General features: G+C 48.4%; 1 protein-coding gene across 14 annotated transcripts in view; it reads left to right on the forward strand.

Moving 5' to 3' along the window:
• HNF4A (hepatocyte nuclear factor 4 alpha) overlaps positions 1 to 19,480 on the forward strand; it is a 78,898-nt gene extending 59,418 nt beyond the window's left edge. For 4 of the 14 annotated variants that reach the window (NM_001287182.2, XM_047440138.1, NM_001030003.3 and 1 more), the window contains 5 exons: positions 3,309 to 3,396; positions 4,605 to 4,760; positions 8,902 to 9,138; positions 13,219 to 13,341; positions 14,407 to 19,480. In NM_001287182.2, coding sequence (NP_001274111.1) covers positions 3,309 to 3,396; positions 4,605 to 4,760; positions 8,902 to 9,138; positions 13,219 to 13,341; positions 14,407 to 14,549 — 747 coding nt within the window. In that variant the 3' untranslated portion in view covers positions 14,550 to 19,480. Of the gene's footprint in view, positions 1 to 3,308; positions 3,397 to 4,604; positions 4,761 to 8,901; positions 9,528 to 13,218; positions 13,372 to 14,406 lie in introns of those variants that run through there. The other 10 variants (XM_047440135.1, XM_047440136.1, XM_047440137.1 and 7 more) reach the window with 3 other exon arrangements.
• Positions 19,481 to 19,726: the final 246 nt, after the last annotated feature.

Raw genomic sequence — 19,726 nt, forward strand, 5'->3', positions numbered from 1 at the left:
CCTGGGCAAATGAGTTCCTCTCTCTGAGCCTCAGTGTTCTCTTATCTGTAAAGTGGAAATGATAATATCCACTTTAGAGTGTGGTTGGGAGGATTGAGGACATTGGTGTCTGAAAAGTACAAAAATCAGGTGATGGGGCAAGCTGCACAGTGGCCAGACCAGAGCTGGTCTCCCTAAACATTAGTTTCTTCCTTGTTTCCCACCAAAACGATTGAACTCAGCATCGTGTTTCCCACCAAAACAATTGAACTGAGCATCATATTTCCCACCGTACATTTTTTTGGAATACTGAAATGTCCCTAGGGGGAAGAAAGGGTTGAAGGAAGGTGGCGTGTGTCTGAGGACAGATGAATTTCGGAGATGCCACCTATGAAGCTCCTGCCCAGAGCACCCCTGGGCCTCCAAAGAGATGTTACCCATCTGGGGAAGAGGAGCTGGGCTGGGCCACCTTCTCAGCTTCGGAGACAGACTCTGGTGCATTCGCTTACCCGTTTCGCACCTTTGCATAAGACACTGACAATGCATGTGAGTCTGTGAAAGCTTCTGAGAAGTCTCGTCCAGGCAGTTGTTTGACTTTGCAGAGGCCGAGGCTTCTCAAACTCCTTCGGCAAGATTCTCCTGGAACACCTATTAATACTGCACATTGGGACACTGTGAAAACGCTGGTTTGGCTTGTCCCCAGCCTCATACAGGGGCTGGACCCGGGGCCCTCTTCCATGGTTCCTCCTTCCATTAGCAGAGTCGACAGGGCAAGGATCTTGGACAATCCGCCCCTACCCTCTCCCCTGTTCCTTGTGCTCTGGCCCCAGTCCCCTCTGCTGGAGTCTCTACATTAATGTTTAATCCCTCCTGTTCCTTCCCAGGGGCTTAGCAGGGCAACAAGATACCCCCAACCTGAGCAATTGTTAACCTCGATTTCCCACCCAAACCTCCCTGGCTGGGGCTCAGAGCATTCTCAGAGAGCAATGATGGGTGGCCAATAACACAGGACAATCATTAACACACCACCCCGACCTCCCGGCCCACCCCCCAGAACAGCTGCCATATCAGGGGGTTGAACCTGGGATCAGAAGGGTTCCCAGCTCCCCATTCCTGGTATATGAGGAGCCCAGCTTGCCCAATGCAGGTGGGGCATCCCTGGGAAAGTCGGGGGCATTGTCCTCCAAAGGGCTTCCCAATTTTGTTGACATTGCCCCAGAAACTAGATTCCCAGTTGGTGTGCTTCTTGGGCCTGGATACAATTGCAGAAAGAGATTGGGGCTTAGAGAGAGACAGAAATTTGCCTGAAGTCACAGAGCAAGTTAGCGACAGAACTGGGATTCAAATCCAGGTCTTCCGCTTCGCGATGTGAAGGCCACTGGAGTGACTGATGAAAGACTTGCACAGTGCCCAGTGCGCAGGAGGCGCTTGGCAATCAGCATCCTCGGCCTCCCTCCATACTGGTCATGGAAAGTGGATTTTCCCTCCCAGGCAGTTTCCTCTTTTTCTGTTTTCCTCACAGGTTTCTATCCATGGGGAATAGAAGGGGCAAGGACAAGTGGCTGCCCAGGAGCAGCTAGAGCTAGAGAGGAAGTCAAGATGTTTGCTCATTCATTCATTCATTTCCCCTTTCCTTCCTTCATTCAAATATTTATTGAAGGCTTATTTTGTGCCAAATATCTTCAGACAAATGCCTTCTTTCCTCTAACAACAATTTCACCTCCTTAGAGGCCTTCTCTGACCTCCCCATCTAACGTAGCCATTCTTGCCCCATTGCTCTCACCATCCTTTCCACTCCCCTCCCTCCCTCCTTCCCTTCCTCCCACCTTTTCTCCTTCCTTCTTTCCTTTATGCTGTGATCACCCTGTGTCCTCTGTACTTATTTGTTCTCTACTATCTGTTCATCCTCTCTCCTATAAATGTTAGTTCGATGAGATTAGAGACCTTGTCTCTCGTTTTTAAACATTGTGCCTCCATTGTCTTAAAAAGTGTCTGGCATTTAGTAGGCATTTAGGATTTGATAACTGAAAGAATGAACAATCAAATTAATGAACAAACAAAGGATTTTAACCTTCTAGTTTGGCTTGCTATGGAACCTCCAAACTCCCTAACCCAACCTTGAAGATGAGAAGATGAGATCCTTGAGGCTACCAGCCTGGTGCTGTTTTGTTTCAAGCCATCCTTTGGTCCTCAGGCAAGCACTAAAGCAGATGGCTCTCAGTGGGCTGGCTATGTCCTTCTGTGAGCTTGCTGGGCCCCTACCTATGACTCCAGTCTTAGAAGTCTTGCCTTGTACCCCCTGCAGAGAATGGTTTCATCAAGCTGATTCTCTGCCAGGGGCCAGTGCTCATACATTTGCTCTGAGAAGGACCAGCCCTGAGACCTAACATCCACATCCAAGTTCTTGTAATGCCCTCTCAGAATCCTGGAGTCCTGCAATGTCGATCCCTGGAGGGATCTGCCAGACCAATGATTTCCCAAACAGAATTGCACTTCAGAGTCAACTATGGAGCTTTTTAAACACAGATCCCTGGGCCCACCCTAAACATACAAAATCAGGATCAGAATCTCAGGGCCTAAGAATCTGTATTTTCAGGCCGGGCGCAGTGGTTCACACCTGTAATCTCAGCACTTTGGGAGGCTGAGTTGGGCTGATCACCTGAGGTCAGGAGTTCGAGATCAGCCTGGCAATATGGTGAAACCCCGTCTCTACTAAAAATAAAATTAGCCAGGCATGGTGGTGCACGCCTGTAGTCTCAGCTACTCTGGAGGCTGAGGCACGAGAATCACTTGAACCTGGGAGGCGGAAGCTGCAGTGAGCCGAGATCATGCCACTGCACTCCAGCCTGGGTGACAGAGTGAGACTCTGTCTCAAAAAAAAAAAAAAAAATAGAATCTGTATTTTTACAAAGCACCCTTCATAATTCTCCATAGCTGGTCCATGGGTGGGAATTTGGGACCCACAGTTTTGGAACTTTTTGGGATCATAGACCTTTTTGAGAATCTCAAAAAAGAAAAAAAAAGCACACAGAATGTTGCTTACAGTTTCATCAGGCACACAGAAGAGGCCCAGCACGAAGCAGTTTCTTGCCCAAGGACACAGCAGTTCAAGGACAGAGTCAGCGCGAGGTCTCTCAGCTCTGAGCACATGTTCTTTCCCCTTCCAGGTTTCTAGTTTTATGGGTAGTAGTTTTATGATGCCCATTTCACAGTTCAGGCAGGTAGAGGCAGAGGGGAGCATTAAGCTGACTTGCCCAGCGTCACTGAGTTGGCTACGGGCAGCCTTCCCAAGGGTACAGATGGCAAACACTGTTCCTTCTCTCTTTCAGGTGGCCCTGCTCAGAGCCCATGCTGGCGAGCACCTGCTGCTCGGAGCCACCAAGAGATCCATGGTGTTCAAGGACGTGCTGCTCCTAGGTGAGGCGGCTGCCTGCCCTGGCCAGGGCTCCAGGGAGGGTATGCCTAGCATGGCACTCACCCAGGCAAGGAGATTCACATGGTGGCATGCAAGGGTGAGGGAGACTAGTCAGGAGTGGCCCTGTCCTCAGGCTTGCATTAGAGGGCTCCAGGACTCAGTTTTCAACTGGGTACCCCACTCAGATGCAAGGAAATGTGGATGCAAGTCACCAAATTCCCAGCATTGAAGTCAGAGCACGATCAGGGTTATCCCTGGAATTACCTGTGCATCCTTTTTTCTTTTGACAGAGTCTTGCTCTGTCACTCAGGCTGGAGTGCAATGATGTGATCTCGGCTCACTTCAGCCTCCACCCGCCACGTTCAAGCAATTCTCCTGCCTCACCCTCCAGAGTTGCTGGGACCACAGGCGTGCACCACCACACCCAGCTAATTTTTGTATTTTTAGTAGAGACAGGGTTTCACCATGTTGACCAGGCTGGTCTCAAACTCCTGGCCTCAAATAATCCACCCGCCTCAGTCTCCCAAAGTGCTGGGATTACAGGTGTGAGCCACCGCGCCTGGCCTACCTGTGCATTCTGATGTTCTTTCTGGAGTAGGAGCAAGAGGTGGTTAAGAATGGCACAAAGCCCCAGCCCGCGTCACCTGTGCCTTCATGGCATAGTTATTATTTTAAACGCTTGTACAGCACACACTGTGTGCCAGGGACTGTGCTCACTGCTTTGCAAACACTACCTATTTTAATATAACAATGCTATGAGGGAAGCTCGATTATTTATCCTCATCTTATAGATAAGAAAACTGAGGCACAGAGAGGTTAAGTAACTTATCCAACTATAACCAGCTATCAGGGGCAGAGCCATTTAAGCAGGGCAGTGCAGTTCCAGAATCTGGTCCTTTAACCTTGATGCTTTGGTGCCTATCAGGTGACCTTTGAATGTCATCGATCTTGTGAGTCATGTTGGTAAATGGAGCTTGGGTCATGTGAAAGAGGTCCTAGAAAGCCAAGTTCCAAGCTCAGCCGGATGACTCAAGGCAGCTTATCTTCTGAATCTGGGCCTCAGCTTCCTTACCTGTGAAATGGGAGTCACCATCCCTGCAGGTCCTCCTCCCACAGGCACCAGCTATCTTGCCAACTTAAAAGCCAAAACTAGAGGAGAGGGGTCAACCCAAGGTGACTTCCCATCCTCCCTCCCTCCCAACCCTTCCAGGCAATGACTACATTGTCCCTCGGCACTGCCCGGAGCTGGCGGAGATGAGCCGGGTGTCCATACGCATCCTTGACGAGCTGGTGCTGCCCTTCCAGGAGCTGCAGATCGATGACAATGAGTATGCCTACCTCAAAGCCATCATCTTCTTTGACCCAGGTACAGTGCACACCTCCTAAGCCATCCCTGACTCTCTCTCCAGAACGCTCTGCCAGACTTCTCCTATTGGGTTCTGTACACTGAGTTCACAGCCTCATCTCATGTTAACGACAGCCAGGAGAGGCCGTTTTCATTTAACAGATGAGGCAAGTCAAGATTTGAAGAGACAATATGGCCGGGCGCAGTGGCTCACACCTGTAATCCCAGCACTTTGGGAGGCTGAGGCGGGCGGATCACCTGAGGTCAGGGGTTCAAGATGAGCCTGGCTAACATGGAGAAACCCCATCTCTACTAAAAATACAAAAATTAGCCAGGCATGGTGGTGCACGCCTGTAATCCCAGCTATTCGGGAGGCTGAGGCAGGAGAATTGCTTGAACCTGGGAGGCGGAGGTTGCAGTGAGCCAAGATCCCGCCACTGCATTCCAGCCTGGGTGACTCCATCTCAAAAAAACAAAAACAAAGGGAGGATATGACTTGACAGGGCACCCTGACTCCAAAGGCCTGGGCTTTCCCTTCTTTTACTTCTTCCCTCCATCCTTCTTTCTCTTTACTTCCCATCTTCCTCTTTTCTTTCATATTTGCTTCTTTTCCTCAAAAAAATTTATCAAAATAATATCTAGAACCGGATGTGGTGGCTCACATCTGTAATCCCAGCACTTTGGGAGGCAGAGGCAGGAGGATCACTTCAGGCCAGGAGTTCGAGGCCAGCCTGGCCAACATAACAAGACCTCGTCTCTATAGAAACTAAAAAAAATTAGCCAGGGATAGTGGTGAGCACCTGCAGTCCCAGCTACTCGGGAAGCCAAGGTGAGCACCTGCAGTCCCAGCTACTCAGGAGGCCAAGGTGGGAGGATCTCTTGAGCCCAGGAGGTGGAGGCTGCTGTGAGATGTGATTGCACCACTGCACTCCAGTCTGGGTGACAAAGCAAGACCTCATCTAAAAAATAATAATAAATAAATAAATAAATCTACACATACTTAAAATGCAAATACTTCTCCCCATCCTACTTTTCCAGCTCTAAGTCTACTCCCCAAGAGAAGCATGTCTGATTATTTTAATTGTTTCTTCTGGCAGTTTCCTCAACAATTCTAAATGAAAGACAAAGCCTTATATTTGTTGATGCATCCATTTTGGATCATAATGTTCCTCCTAGGATGGCAGAGGATTTTGCTTTTCTCCATCACCATTCCCATCTTTTCTTCCCCATTTTTCCCAATATATTTTTATTGCTATTTTTGAGTCTCTGTTGCAAGTTATGTGCTTTTATCTTTCCTTTCTTGTTCTATCAACTGTAGACGGTATCTCCCAACCCTTCACATTGCAGGATGAAGAAAAAGCATTCCTACCCTCTCCTGTGGCTCTTGGCTCTCCTCTCCCCATTCTGTCCACTGACTTTTGCACCTGCATTTATACAGAATGCATTTGTCATCAGTCTTTGTACAAAACTTGCTTTTGTTTCCCAGCATCAAAGGTGCCTGAACTCTGGAGGCTTGCTTGCCTTCCCTGCTTACATGTTAGAGGGGACCTACTGTGTGCCAGGCACTGTCCTTCACGCTGCAAATAGATTACCTCTAGTAATAATAGTAATGAAAAGGCTGGGTGTGGTGGCTCACGCCTGTAATCCCAGCACTTTGGGAGACTGAGGCAGGCAGATTACTTGACGTCAGGAGTTCAAGACCAGCCTGGCCAACATGGTGAAACCCCGTCTCTACTAAAAATACAAAAATCAGTTGTGTGTGGTGGTCCGTGCCTGTAATCCCAGCTACTCAGGAGGCTGAGGCAGGAGAATCGCTTGAACCTGGGAGGCGGGGGTTGCAGTGAGCCAAGATCATGCCATTGCACTCCAGCCTGGGCAACAAGAGCAAAACTTCATCTCAAAAAAATACATATATGTGTATATATATATAATATATATTATATATATATAATATATAGTGATATATATAGTATATAGTGATATATTACGTATAATATATATTATATATAGTGATATATATTTTATATATATATAGTGATATATATTATATATAGAGAGAGTGATGAAGTGGAAGATGAGCCCCATGTATTGAATGCTCCCTAAAGAGCTGTTTTTAAACACTTTATGTGGATTGTCTTACTTACCAACATGGTACCTGTGAAGTAGGAATTATTATTATCTCCATTTTACAGATAAGGAAACTGAGGCATGATTAACTTGCTCAAGGTCACACAACCGGAAAATGGCAGAGCTTGGATTTGAACTTCAGACCACCTGTCAATCCCAATTTCTCTCTCTCAAGCCCACATTCTTACCTACCACCTGCTATCCCACACTTACCAGAGGGTGAGATTTCTAGTTCTAGTTCCCTCCACAGCCTGGCCCAGCCTGTATCCTCTGTAGTGCTCAACACGAGGCTGGACTGGCAGAATTGTTCTGCAAAATGGGAAGGATCACTGATGCTGAGTCAGAGGCAGCAGCCTCCAGCAATTTGAAGGGGCGGGGGACCTAGTTCAAGGCCTGGCATGCAGGAGGTGCTCAATAAACATGTGTGGCCTGAATGAACTAATGAATAAGCATGATTCAGTGGAGACAGCCCACTAGAAATGTGGGTGAATGTTCTTTCTGCCACTTCCTTTGTCCATGAAAGAGGAAATAAATGCATTACCTCCATGAAGGTTGAGATTAAATATTGTATGACCGCTTAAGTTCCTTTCTAGGCTAAGGATCTAGAATTTATTCACTGATTTTTTTTTCATTCATTCATCCAGCCATCTAACAAAAAATATACATATAGTTATCAATAAATATATATTTATATATAAATATATATTTTTTAAAATATATATATATATAGTCTGTCACCCAGGCTGGAGTGCAGTGGCACCGTCTTGGCTCACTGCGACCTCCACCTCCCAGTTTCAAGCGATTCTCCCACCTCACCTCCTGAGTCGCTGGGATTACAGGCATGTGTCACCACGCCAGGTGAATTTTTGTATTATCAGTAGAGATGGGGTTTCACCATATTGACCAGGCTGGTCTCAAACTCCTGACCTCAAGTGATCCCCCCGCCTCGGCCTCTGACAGTGCTGGGCTTACAGGCATGAGCCACCATGCCTGGCCCTATTCAATAAATATTGACTATGCATGGTGCTAGGTGGTGAGTTTGAAAAGGCAAAGGCCGGGTGCAGTGGCTCACGCCTGTAATCCCAACATTTTGGGAGGCTGAGGCAGGCAGATTACTTGAGGTCAGAAGTTTGAGATGAGCCTGACCAGCATGGTGAAACCCCGTCTCTACTAAAATACAAAAATTAGCTGGGTGTGGTGGTGTGTGCCTGTAATCCCAGCTACTCGGGAGGCTGAGGCAGGAGAATCGCTTGAACCCAGGAGGCAGAGGTTGCGGTGAGCCGAGATCACGCCACTGCACTCCAGGCTGGGGGTCAGAGGGAGACTCAGTCTCAAAATAAAATAAAATAAAATAAAAATGGCAAATAAGACATACGCGTGCCCCTGCCAAACTCACAGTTGGATGGCACAACAATTACATCCTGTGTGGTCAGCAGTGATGGAGGGGCCGCAGAGATTTGGAAACAGGAGGGACACAGGATACAGATATAGGAGGGTAGAAGGCAGACTTCCTGGAGGAGGTGAAACCTAACCTGAGTCCCTAAGGTGATAGGAAGCAGGAACCAGGGAAGGGGAGCCTATTCTAACACAGTAGAAGCAGCAACTGCTGAGGTCTGGATGAGGGGACCTCAACTGTGGCCCAAAACCCCAAGTTCCCATTGTGGCTCTGCCAACAACTGGCTGTGCGACCCAGGACAAGTCCTATCTTTGCACTGTGTCTGGGTTTCCCCGTGTGTAAGATGAGGCGGTTGCTAGGTGCTTATTGGATGCATTCCTCAAGTCCCGCCCTCCATCTCCTATTCCCCTCTCTTCTGGTTTAGTGCTTTAGGAAATGTGGCAGAAATCTTTTTCTGCCTGTGTCTAGGAAATCATAATTCATGCTGGCGTACCCTGGTTGTTGAGGTCCCTGAATCCTTGTGCCCACACTGCTGAAGACTCCTTGTGTGATACAAGTCAGGGGACATCTGGGTCTTGACTCCCCAGATGCTCCAGCTGGACCCTGCTGCCCTCCCTTGCCCACCCTCTTCCATTGTAGATGCCAAGGGGCTGAGCGATCCAGGGAAGATCAAGCGGCTGCGTTCCCAGGTGCAGGTGAGCTTGGAGGACTACATCAACGACCGCCAGTATGACTCGCGTGGCCGCTTTGGAGAGCTGCTGCTGCTGCTGCCCACCTTGCAGAGCATCACCTGGCAGATGATCGAGCAGATCCAGTTCATCAAGCTCTTCGGCATGGCCAAGATTGACAACCTGTTGCAGGAGATGCTGCTGGGAGGTCCGTGCCAAGCCCAGGAGGGGCGGGGTTGGAGTGGGGACTCCCCAGGAGACAGGCCTCACACAGTGAGCTCACCCCTCAGCTCCTTGGCTTCCCCACTGTGCCGCTTTGGGCAAGTTGCTTAACCTGTCTGTGCCTCAGTTTCCTCACCAGAAAAATGGGAACAAGGCAATGGTCTATTTGTTCAGGCACCGAGAACCTAGCACGTGCCAGTCACTGTTCTAAGTGCTGGCAATTCAGCAAAGAACAAGATCTTTGCCCTCGGGGAGGCTGTGTGTGTGTGAGTATGTATGGATGCGTGGATATCTGTGTATATGCCCGTATGTGCGTGCATGTGTATATAAAGCCTCACATTTTATGATTTTGAAATAAACAGGTAATATGATAGAGTTTAACTGAAAAGGAATCCTCTTTAGATAGGGGAGGCCACAGGAGACCTCTCTGAAGTGGTGACTCTTGTGCTAAGACCCTAACGGCTGAAAGGAAATGGAAGGCTTAAAAGACAAGAGAGGAATATTCCAAGAAGAAGAAACTACTTCAAGGGCTGCGGATAGGAGAGAGTGTTGTGTTTGAGAAAGAAGGGCAAGGTTGTGAGATGGAGGACGTGTAGGAGGTGAAGATGGAGATTGGGCAGAAACCAAATCATAAACATATGGCTTTGTCAGCCTTTTCAGAAATTTGGATTTTATTCTCATTGCAACTATTGTAAGGAGAGTGAAAACCAGACTAAGTATTTTTATTCTTTGAGACAAAGTCTCCCTCAATCATCCAGGCTGGAGTGCAGTGGCACAATCTTGGCTGACTGCAACCTCCACCTCCCGAGTTCAAGCAATTCTCCTGCCACAGCCTCCTGAGTAGTTGGGATTACAGGCGCCCGCCACCACGCCCTGCTCATTTTTTTATATTTTTAGTAAAGACAGGGTTTCACCCTATTGGCCAAGATGGTCTCAAACTCCTGACCTCAAGTGATCACCCACCTCAGTCTCCCAAAGTGCTGGAATGACAGGTGTGAGCCGCCACACCCATCCCAGACTAATGCTTCAAACAAACCACTCTGTTGGGTAGAGAGTGAATTGCAGATTCCTGAGAATGTCACTGTCTCCAATCATGTGATGGATGATGGAGGCTTGGACCCTGGCAATGGAGCAGTGAAGATAAACCTGATCATCTATTTGGAGGAAGAGCCCACACCCACAGGATTTGCTGATTGATCAGACATAGGGAGTGAGAGAAAGAGGAAGAGTCAAGGACAAAGTCTACATTTTTGCTTTGAGTAGCAGAAATGACGATGGAGTAATTTACTGAAATGAGGAGGACAGAATAAACAACAAGACACTGGGTCTGGGGGTGGTAGTGAGGGGTGACCTCAGAGATCCATTGTGGACCCTCTTTTCTTTTTTCCTTTTTTTTTTTTTTTTGAGACGAGATCTCTCTCTGCCACCCAGGCTGGAGTGCAGTGGCGCAATCATAGTTCACTGTAGCCTCAACCTTCCAGGCTCAAGAGATCCTCCTACCCCAGCCTTTCAAGTAGCTGGGACTACAGGTGCGTGCCACCACACCCAGCTAATTCTTCATTCTTATTTTTTATAGAGACAAGGTCTCACTATGTTGCCCAGGCTGGTCTTGAACTCCTAGCCTTAAGCAATCCTTCCGACTTGGCCTCTCAAAGTGCTGGGATTACAGGTGTGAGCCACCATGCCCAGCCTCATTGTGGACTTTCATTAAGCATGAGATGACTATTACAAATCCAAGTTATCAAGGAGGCTGTTGAATGTATGAGTCTGTTGCTCAAGCACAAGATTAAAGGCAGCTCTGTGGAATCAGGGGGAAGATGGAGCCATGGAGGGAAGGGAAGAAGACTGGCCAGAGGGGTAGGAGAAAACCAGGGCAATTCCAGAATCCAAGAGAAGAGCGTGTTTGAAGGACAGAGTGTTTAATGGTGTTAAACTCTACAGAGAAACAGAAAGAAGCGGGGAAGAAAGGAGAGGTGAAGAGAGGAGGGGAAGAGAGAGGAAAGGGTCCATTGGATTGACAGCTGGAGGCTCTTGGCAATTGTGTTGAAAGCAGCATCAGAGAGCTGGGAGAGTGGAAACCAGATTGGAGAGTGCTCCAAAGAGAGTGAGTGGGAAGGTGGAGATAGAGTAGATAACCCTTTGAAATGGTTTGACTATGAAGGGGAGTATGAAGGAGTTAGGATGACTGCAAGGGAGTGATTAGAATGATAGGTCATGGAGTCTGGGCTGCACTCAAAAAGAAATAAAGATAGAGGCCGGGCACGGTGGCTCACACCTGTAATCCTAGCACTTTGGGAGGCCGAGGCGGGTGGATCACTTGAGGCTAGGAGTTCAAGACCAACCTGGCAACACAGCAAAACACCATCTCTACTAAAAATACAAAAAAAAATTAGCCAGACATGGTGGCATGCACCTGTAATCCCAGCTACTCGGGAGGCTGAGGCAGGACAATCACTTGAACCCGGGAGATGGAGGTTGAAGTGAGCTGAGATCATGACATTGCACTCCAGCGTGGGCGACAGAACAAGGCTCTGTCTCAACAACAACAACAAAAGGATGGGGTGATAGTGAAAAGAGAGTGTCAGTGAATTGACAGTCTCAGTAGGGCTGAAGAATTTTTGCAGCGATGGTATTAGATTACGGGAGCTGGAAGGACATGAGGTGAAGTCAAAGTGGGGATGTTGAATTCGAGATTTTGGAGGTGTTTCAGTGACTGAAGATGACAAGGCGAGGGTGAGGTTTCTCAACATTGGTACTATTGATACTTGGAACTGGACAATTCTTTGTTGTGTGGGGCTGTCCTGTACATTGTTCAGCTGCATCTCTGTCCTGTACCCATAAGGTGCCAGTAGCACTTCTCCAGTGGTGACAACCAAAAATGTCTTTGGATATTGTCAAATGTCTCCTGATGGGCCAAAATCATCCCCAGTTGGGAATCGCTGTTATGTGATAGCTCATTTCATTCTCACTTTGACCCTGTGAACATGGGGTTATTATGAATCAGGTGTCATTGAGATCAGGATCAGGAGCCTGTGGTCTGTTGCCAAATAATTAAGAGCTCTCTGGGCTCAGTTGTCTCATCTGTAGAATGGGCTAATAATAGTATCCATCCTATAGGATTGCTGTGAGGATTAAATTATGTGAAACATGGGAAGTGCTATACAACAGTACCTGGCACGTGATAATTGTTAATTATCAACAATTGTTATTTATCACTGAAATAGATGTACTGTAGAGATCGCTTGCAAGCGTTGAAATTCCATCATCGTCATATTACTCACCATAGGCTATTATTAAACCATATCCCATGTGGTATTTTTACTCCCTGACATATGTTTGAAGCGGTTACTGTGTTCCAGACAATCTGCTAGGCCCTCAAAGAAAGAAGAAAAATACCTCTGAAATTGTAATGCTCATAGACAGAAGAAGTGGTTGTTCCTAAAAGTTGTGTTACAGACAAATTACTATGAGAAATCCAAGGAAGGAGAATCAGGAGAGGCTTCTAAAGAGAGGAAATATATGAGCTGGGATTTGGGCTTATGGACATGGAACAGGTTTGGGGTGGAAAAACATCTCTGACAGAAGCAACAACGTGAGCAGAAGCATAGAGATAGAAAAACACAGGGGACACATAGATGCTATAAGTAGGTCAGTTGGCTGCAGCAGAGATGTGGGGGATGAGGCTGAAAGGTGAGGCGGGACCAAATGGTTGAAGGACTTGCACTCCAAGGAGCTTTGAGAGCCATTGATTACATCCATTATGTTACTATGTGACCAATACACTACTCATTAGAACATTTACGTGATCTCAGAGCTTCCTTATATGCACCTTGTTCCTTTCAACTCACTTTTGTTCTCTTGGTTTTTTGGGGTCCTCTTAACACCCTCATGAAGTCTATAGATGGGAATGGTACACCCTAGTTTACTAACCCAGGAATAGGTACCCAACAGGCACTGCCAATATTGGATGGGCTGGTTGATTGGCCACGCCTGAGGAAGATGGCGTCCCAAGGCCTGAGGTCTGCATCCCAGACTCTCCATCCTGATCGACCTTCTCTACCTGCAGGGTCCCCCAGCGATGCACCCCATGCCCACCACCCCCTGCACCCTCACCTGATGCAGGAACATATGGGAACCAACGTCATCGTTGCCAACACAATGCCCACTCACCTCAGCAACGGACAGATGTGTGAGTGGCCCCGACCCAGGGGACAGGCAGGTGGGCAAACTCTGGGATTTTACCTTGCAAAGGGTGAGGATGGGGCTTAAGACAGGAGGCAGGAGAAAGTGGAGTCTAGAAGGTAGAACCAGGATGCAACAGTTTTCTGGGTTCCAGGGTAGGGAATAAAGGGCAAGATTGTCCATTTGTTGAGGCTGTTTATTCAGTAAGGTGACTGACAGCCTTTACTGAATGAAGCCATTGTTGGGATGAGGCAATCCACTGGATGAGGTAACCCATTGGGTGAAGATGTTCTTGGGTGAGAATTCCATTAGTTGACATTGTCCATTAAGTAAAAGTGGTCATTGAAGTAAGGCTGCACAGTTGGGTAAGGCTATCCATTAGACAATTAGATGAGACTACCCATTGGGTCAGGATGTCTGCTGGGCTAGACCATCCTCTGAAACCTCCAAAGTATAAACTTGTCATTGGGCAAAGCTCTTCAAAGGATAAGATTATCAATGGGATGAAGTGATCCACTGAGATAAGATGATATTTTACTGACATTGTTCTCAGGGAAAGTTTTCCATTGAACAAAGATGGCCAATTGGGTCAAATTTGCTCTCCAAACCTGCCATGAGAGTGAGGCCAATTAGTTTCTATTACTCATCTCCTAAATATCCAAGAAATGGTATTTTTTGAGCCAGCTGGTCCGGGGTTTCATCAACTGCTGCTCCTTCTCCCAGGAAAGACTATCCCTGTCACCCATCCCATTGCCGCTGGGGACAGCCAGGCCTGGGCCTTGGTTTGGGAGAAGCAGTCCAAGTCTGCATATCAAATAAATGATGGAGGAGATGGGTGGTAGGACCTTCCAGACCTCATAAAACTTAGGCTTTATGATCTGGGACTCACAGAAGGTTGAGCAATAAAAGACCTTAGGGATTATCTGGTTTAATTAATTCTCTCATTTTATAGAGGAAGAAATTAAGTCAAGGTGGGGCAGGGTGGGAGGGGAGAACTTTCCCGGGCCTCTTCATTTACTCCCACAAAGGCTGGAATTTTGAGCAGCCCCTGTCTGTCTGTTTGTCCTTCCAGCCACCCCTGAGACCCCACAGCCCTCACCGCCAGGTGGCTCAGGGTCTGAGCCCTATAAGCTCCTGCCGGGAGCCGTCGCCACAATCGTCAAGCCCCTCTCTGCCATCCCCCAGCCGACCATCACCAAGCAGGAAGTTATCTAGCAAGCCGCTGGGGCTTGGGGGCTCCACTGGCTCCCCCCAGCCCCCTAAGAGAGCACCTGGTGATCACGTGGTCACGGCAAAGGAAGACGTGATGCCAGGACCAGTCCCAGAGCAGGAATGGGAAGGATGAAGGGCCCGAGAACATGGCCTAAGGGCCACATCCCACTGCCACCCTTGACGCCCTGCTCTGGATAACAAGACTTTGACTTGGGGAGACCTCTACTGCCTTGGACAACTTTTCTCATGTTGAAGCCACTGCCTTCACCTTCACCTTCATCCATGTCCAACCCCCGACTTCATCCCAAAGGACAGCCGCCTGGAGATGACTTGAGGCCTTACTTAAACCCAGCTCCCTTCTTCCCTAGCCTGGTGCTTCTCCTCTCCTAGCCCCTGTCATGGTGTCCAGACAGAGCCCTGTGAGGCTGGGTCCAATTGTGGCACTTGGGGCACCTTGCTCCTCCTTCTGCTGCTGCCCCCACCTCTGCTGCCTCCCTCTGCTGTCACCTTGCTCAGCCATCCCGTCTTCTCCAACACCACCTCTCCAGAGGCCAAGGAGGCCTTGGAAACGATTCCCCCAGTCATTCTGGGAACATGTTGTAAGCACTGACTGGGACCAGGCACCAGGCAGGGTCTAGAAGGCTGTGGTGAGGGAAGACGCCTTTCTCCTCCAACCCAACCTCATCCTCCTTCTTCAGGGACTTGGGTGGGTACTTGGGTGAGGATCCCTGAAGGCCTTCAACCCGAGAAAACAAACCCAGGTTGGCGACTGCAACAGGAACTTGGAGTGGAGAGGAAAAGCATCAGAAAGAGGCAGACCATCCACCAGGCCTTTGAGAAAGGGTAGAATTCTGGCTGGTAGAGCAGGTGAGATGGGACATTCCAAAGAACAGCCTGAGCCAAGGCCTAGTGGTAGTAAGAATCTAGCAAGAATTGAGGAAGAATGGTGTGGGAGAGGGATGATGAAGAGAGAGAGGGCCTGCTGGAGAGCATAGGGTCTGGAACACCAGGCTGAGGTCCTGATCAGCTTCAAGGAGTATGCAGGGAGCTGGGCTTCCAGAAAATGAACACAGCAGTTCTGCAGAGGACGGGAGGCTGGAAGCTGGGAGGTCAGGTGGGGTGGATGATATAATGCGGGTGAGAGTAATGAGGCTTGGGGCTGGAGAGGACAAGATGGGTAAACCCTCACATCAGAGTGACATCCAGGAGGAATAAGCTCCCAGGGCCTGTCTCAAGCTCTTCCTTACTCCCAGGCACTGTCTTAAGGCATCTGACATGCATCATCTCATTTAATCCTCCCTTCCTCCCTATTAACCTAGAGATTGTTTTTGTTTTTTATTCTCCTCCTCCCTCCCCGCCCTCACCCGCCCCACTCCCTCCTAACCTAGAGATTGTTACAGAAGCTGAAATTGCGTTCTAAGAGGTGAAGTGATTTTTTTTCTGAAACTCACACAACTAGGAAGTGGCTGAGTCAGGACTTGAACCCAGGTCTCCCTGGATCAGAACAGGAGCTCTTAACTACAGTGGCTGAATAGCTTCTCCAAAGGCTCCCTGTGTTCTCACCGTGATCAAGTTGAGGGGCTTCCGGCTCCCTTCTACAGCCTCAGAAACCAGACTCGTTCTTCTGGGAACCCTGCCCACTCCCAGGACCAAGATTGGCCTGAGGCTGCACTAAAATTCACTTAGGGTCGAGCATCCTGTTTGCTGATAAATATTAAGGAGAATTCATGACTCTTGACAGCTTTTCTCTCTTCACTCCCCAAGTCAAGGGGAGGGGTGGCAGGGGTCTGTTTCCTGGAAGTCAGGCTCATCTGGCCTGTTGGCATGGGGGTGGGACAGTGTGCACAGTGTGGGGGCAGGGGAGGGCTAAGCAGGCCTGGGTTTGAGGGCTGCTCCGGAGACCGTCACTCCAGGTGCATTCTGGAAGCATTAGACCCCAGGATGGAGCGACCAGCATGTCATCCATGTGGAATCTTGGTGGCTTTGAGGACATTCTGGAAAATGCCACTGACCAGTGTGAACAAAAGGGATGTGTTATGGGGCTGGAGGTGTGATTAGGTAGGAGGGAAACTGTTGGACCGACTCCTGCCCCCTGCTCAACACTGACCCCTCTGAGTGGTTGGAGGCAGTGCCCCAGTGCCCAGAAATCCCACCATTAGTGATTGTTTTTTATGAGAAAGAGGCGTGGAGAAGTATTGGGGCAATGTGTCAGGGAGGAATCACCACATCCCTACGGCAGTCCCAGCCAAGCCCCCAATCCCAGCGGAGACTGTGCCCTGCTCAGAGCTCCCAAGCCTTCCCCCACCACCTCACTCAAGTGCCCCTGAAATCCCTGCCAGACGGCTCAGCCTGGTCTGCGGTAAGGCAGGGAGGCTGGAACCATTTCTGGGCATTGTGGTCATTCCCACTGTGTTCCTCCACCTCCTCCCTCCAGCGTTGCTCAGACCTCTGTCTTGGGAGAAAGGTTGAGATAAGAATGTCCCATGGAGTGCCGTGGGCAACAGTGGCCCTTCATGGGAACAATCTGTTGGAGCAGGGGGTCAGTTCTCTGCTGGGAATCTACCCCTTTCTGGAGGAGAAACCCATTCCACCTTAATAACTTTATTGTAATGTGAGAAACACAAAACAAAGTTTACTTTTTTGACTCTAAGCTGACATGATATTAGAAAATCTCTCGCTCTCTTTTTTTTTTTTTTTTTTTTTTTTGGCTACTTGAGTTGTGGTCCTAAAACATAAAATCTGATGGACAAACAGAGGGTTGCTGGGGGGACAAGCGTGGGCACAATTTCCCCACCAAGACACCCTGATCTTCAGGCGGGTCTCAGGAGCTTCTAAAAATCCGCATGGCTCTCCTGAGAGTGGACAGAGGAGAGGAGAGGGTCAGAAATGAACGCTCTTCTATTTCTTGTCATTACCAAGCCAATTACTTTTGCCAAATTTTTCTGTGATCTGCCCTGATTAAGATGAATTGTGAAATTTACATCAAGCAATTATCAAAGCGGGCTGGGTCCCATCAGAACGACCCACATCTTTCTGTGGGTGTGAATGTCATTAGGTCTTGCGCTGACCCCTGAGCCCCCATCACTGCCGCCTGATGGGGCAAAGAAACAAAAAACATTTCTTACTCTTCTGTGTTTTAACAAAAGTTTATAAAACAAAATAAATGGCGCATATGTTTTCTAAGTCCTTGGATAAGTATCTTTTCTTTCAGGTATCAGAAATAAGACTGAATCTTCTGGTTCTACTTGGGGGTTAAAAAATTTTTTTTAAAGGAAGAATGAGAATAGTTTTATAGTTCTTTGTGATGTGCAGAATGTTTTTGTGTCCATTATAATTTTTCAGTCTTCACATCAAGAGGTAAGCAGTTAGACATGATTACTCCCACTTTCCAGATGAGGAGACTGAGGCTTGGGGGAAGTGACTTCTCTTGGAAGGCAGAGGTGGACATCTAACCCTGGTCTCTTGATTCCAAGTACTTAGTATATCGAGAGAGTGAAAGTTGATCCCCCTTCTTGAAGAGGGGAGTGATGAGGGGAGAGTGCAATGGCAAGATCTGGAAGAATGGCAAGAGGGTCCAAGGGTCTGTCATCCTCCACCAAGGTTCAAGACAGAACCTTTTGCTGGGTCACCTCAATCTGCCAGCAATGGAAGATGAGTAGCTGTGGGGACATTTCATAAAAGCAAGTGGTTTTTTTGTTTTGTTTTGTTTTGTTTTTTGTTTTTTTTTCTAGAACAAGGCTGTGCACAGTGGCTCACCTCTGTAATCCCAGCACTTTGGGAGGCTGAGGCGGGAGGATCACTTGAGCTCAGGAGTTCGAGACCAGCCAGAGCAATATAAGGAGACCCCATCTCTACAAAAAATTTAAAAATTAGCCAGGTATAGTGGTGTGTGCCTATAGTACCAGCTACTCTGAAGGCTGAGGTGGGAAGATTGCTTCAGCCCAGGAGTTCGAGGATGCAGTGAGCTATGAATGCAACACTGCACTACAGCCTGGATGAAAGAACAAGACTCTGTCTCAAAACATAAATAATAAGTAAAAAGAATAAAAGCAAGAGATGCACTTGAGAATCTCCAGCCAGATCTGTAGCCACTGGGCTTCTCTCCAAGGCTAAACTATTACAGGAGGGTGGCCTTGTGTCTCGGTCACCACAGACCACAGCGTTCCATTCACTCGGGGTTGTGCTGGAGCTGGCTTGTGAGAACTGACTGTTAGCTTCTCTTCCCAACTCCATGTTTGCCAGTGCCACACTGATAGCTTGAAATTGGTTATTGCCGGAGTGTTTACACCACAAGGACTAGCAAACTCTACAAATCCGGGCTTTTGTTCCTGGAGAGCCCGTTGTTAACATTCACCAGCACACCACAGCATTCGGCAATGGCTGGACCATGGGATGCCTACATATGGGGACATCCTCCTTGGGGATGAGGGTAGAGCAGGGCGATCCTTTCACCTCTTCCTTAAGGGAGGGGACAAAAGTTCTGGTCTGGGAAGCACACGTTTTGCTGATCAGCGTAACCTTGGGCAGGTCACTCCACCACTCCGAGCCTCATCTGTAAAGTGGGAATGATATCTCCCTCCAGGGCAGATGTCAGGATTCAATGGAATGAGATCACAGTAACTGTGAGAGCTCCCGTTACATGAGGAGTACAAGTGAACTCTTCATGCGCCCCTTTTTAGCGAGAAGTTAACCATTAAACTCTCCAGGCTTCAGAGCACCCATTCGCTGTCTACCTGATCCCTAGGGCCGCTCCCGCCTTCCCCTGTGCCTTCCCTCCACTAGTCAGCACCAGGAAATGTTTTCGATAACGTTGCAACGGAGGCCTTGTTCATGCTGCCGCCATCGGGGACAAGCGCGGGGGGGGGGGGGTGGAGGCCAGAGGAGACTATTTCAGTCCTAAATTGTGCTTAATAAACCCATATCAAAACCATAAACCCTTGGCTGCCATAAATTCCTCTACCCTTGGATCCTCCACCTCATCAGCCCTTTGCCCTGGTTAATCTCAAATCTCAGCGCAGGCAGCCGGAGCTTTAGGTTTGGTTTCTACTTCAGTTGCTAAACAGCATCAGCTCAGGTGGCAGACAGTAAAATTCCCATTTTAGAGATGATGAAACTGAGGTTCAGAAAGGTGAAGAAACTTGTCCAAGGTCACACAGCTAGAGACCCCAGCCAAGACCTGA

The sequence above is a fragment of the Homo sapiens genome, chromosome 20, assembly GCF_000001405.40.
Source record: "Homo sapiens chromosome 20, GRCh38.p14 Primary Assembly".
Taxonomy (NCBI): Eukaryota; Metazoa; Chordata; class Mammalia; order Primates; family Hominidae; genus Homo; species Homo sapiens.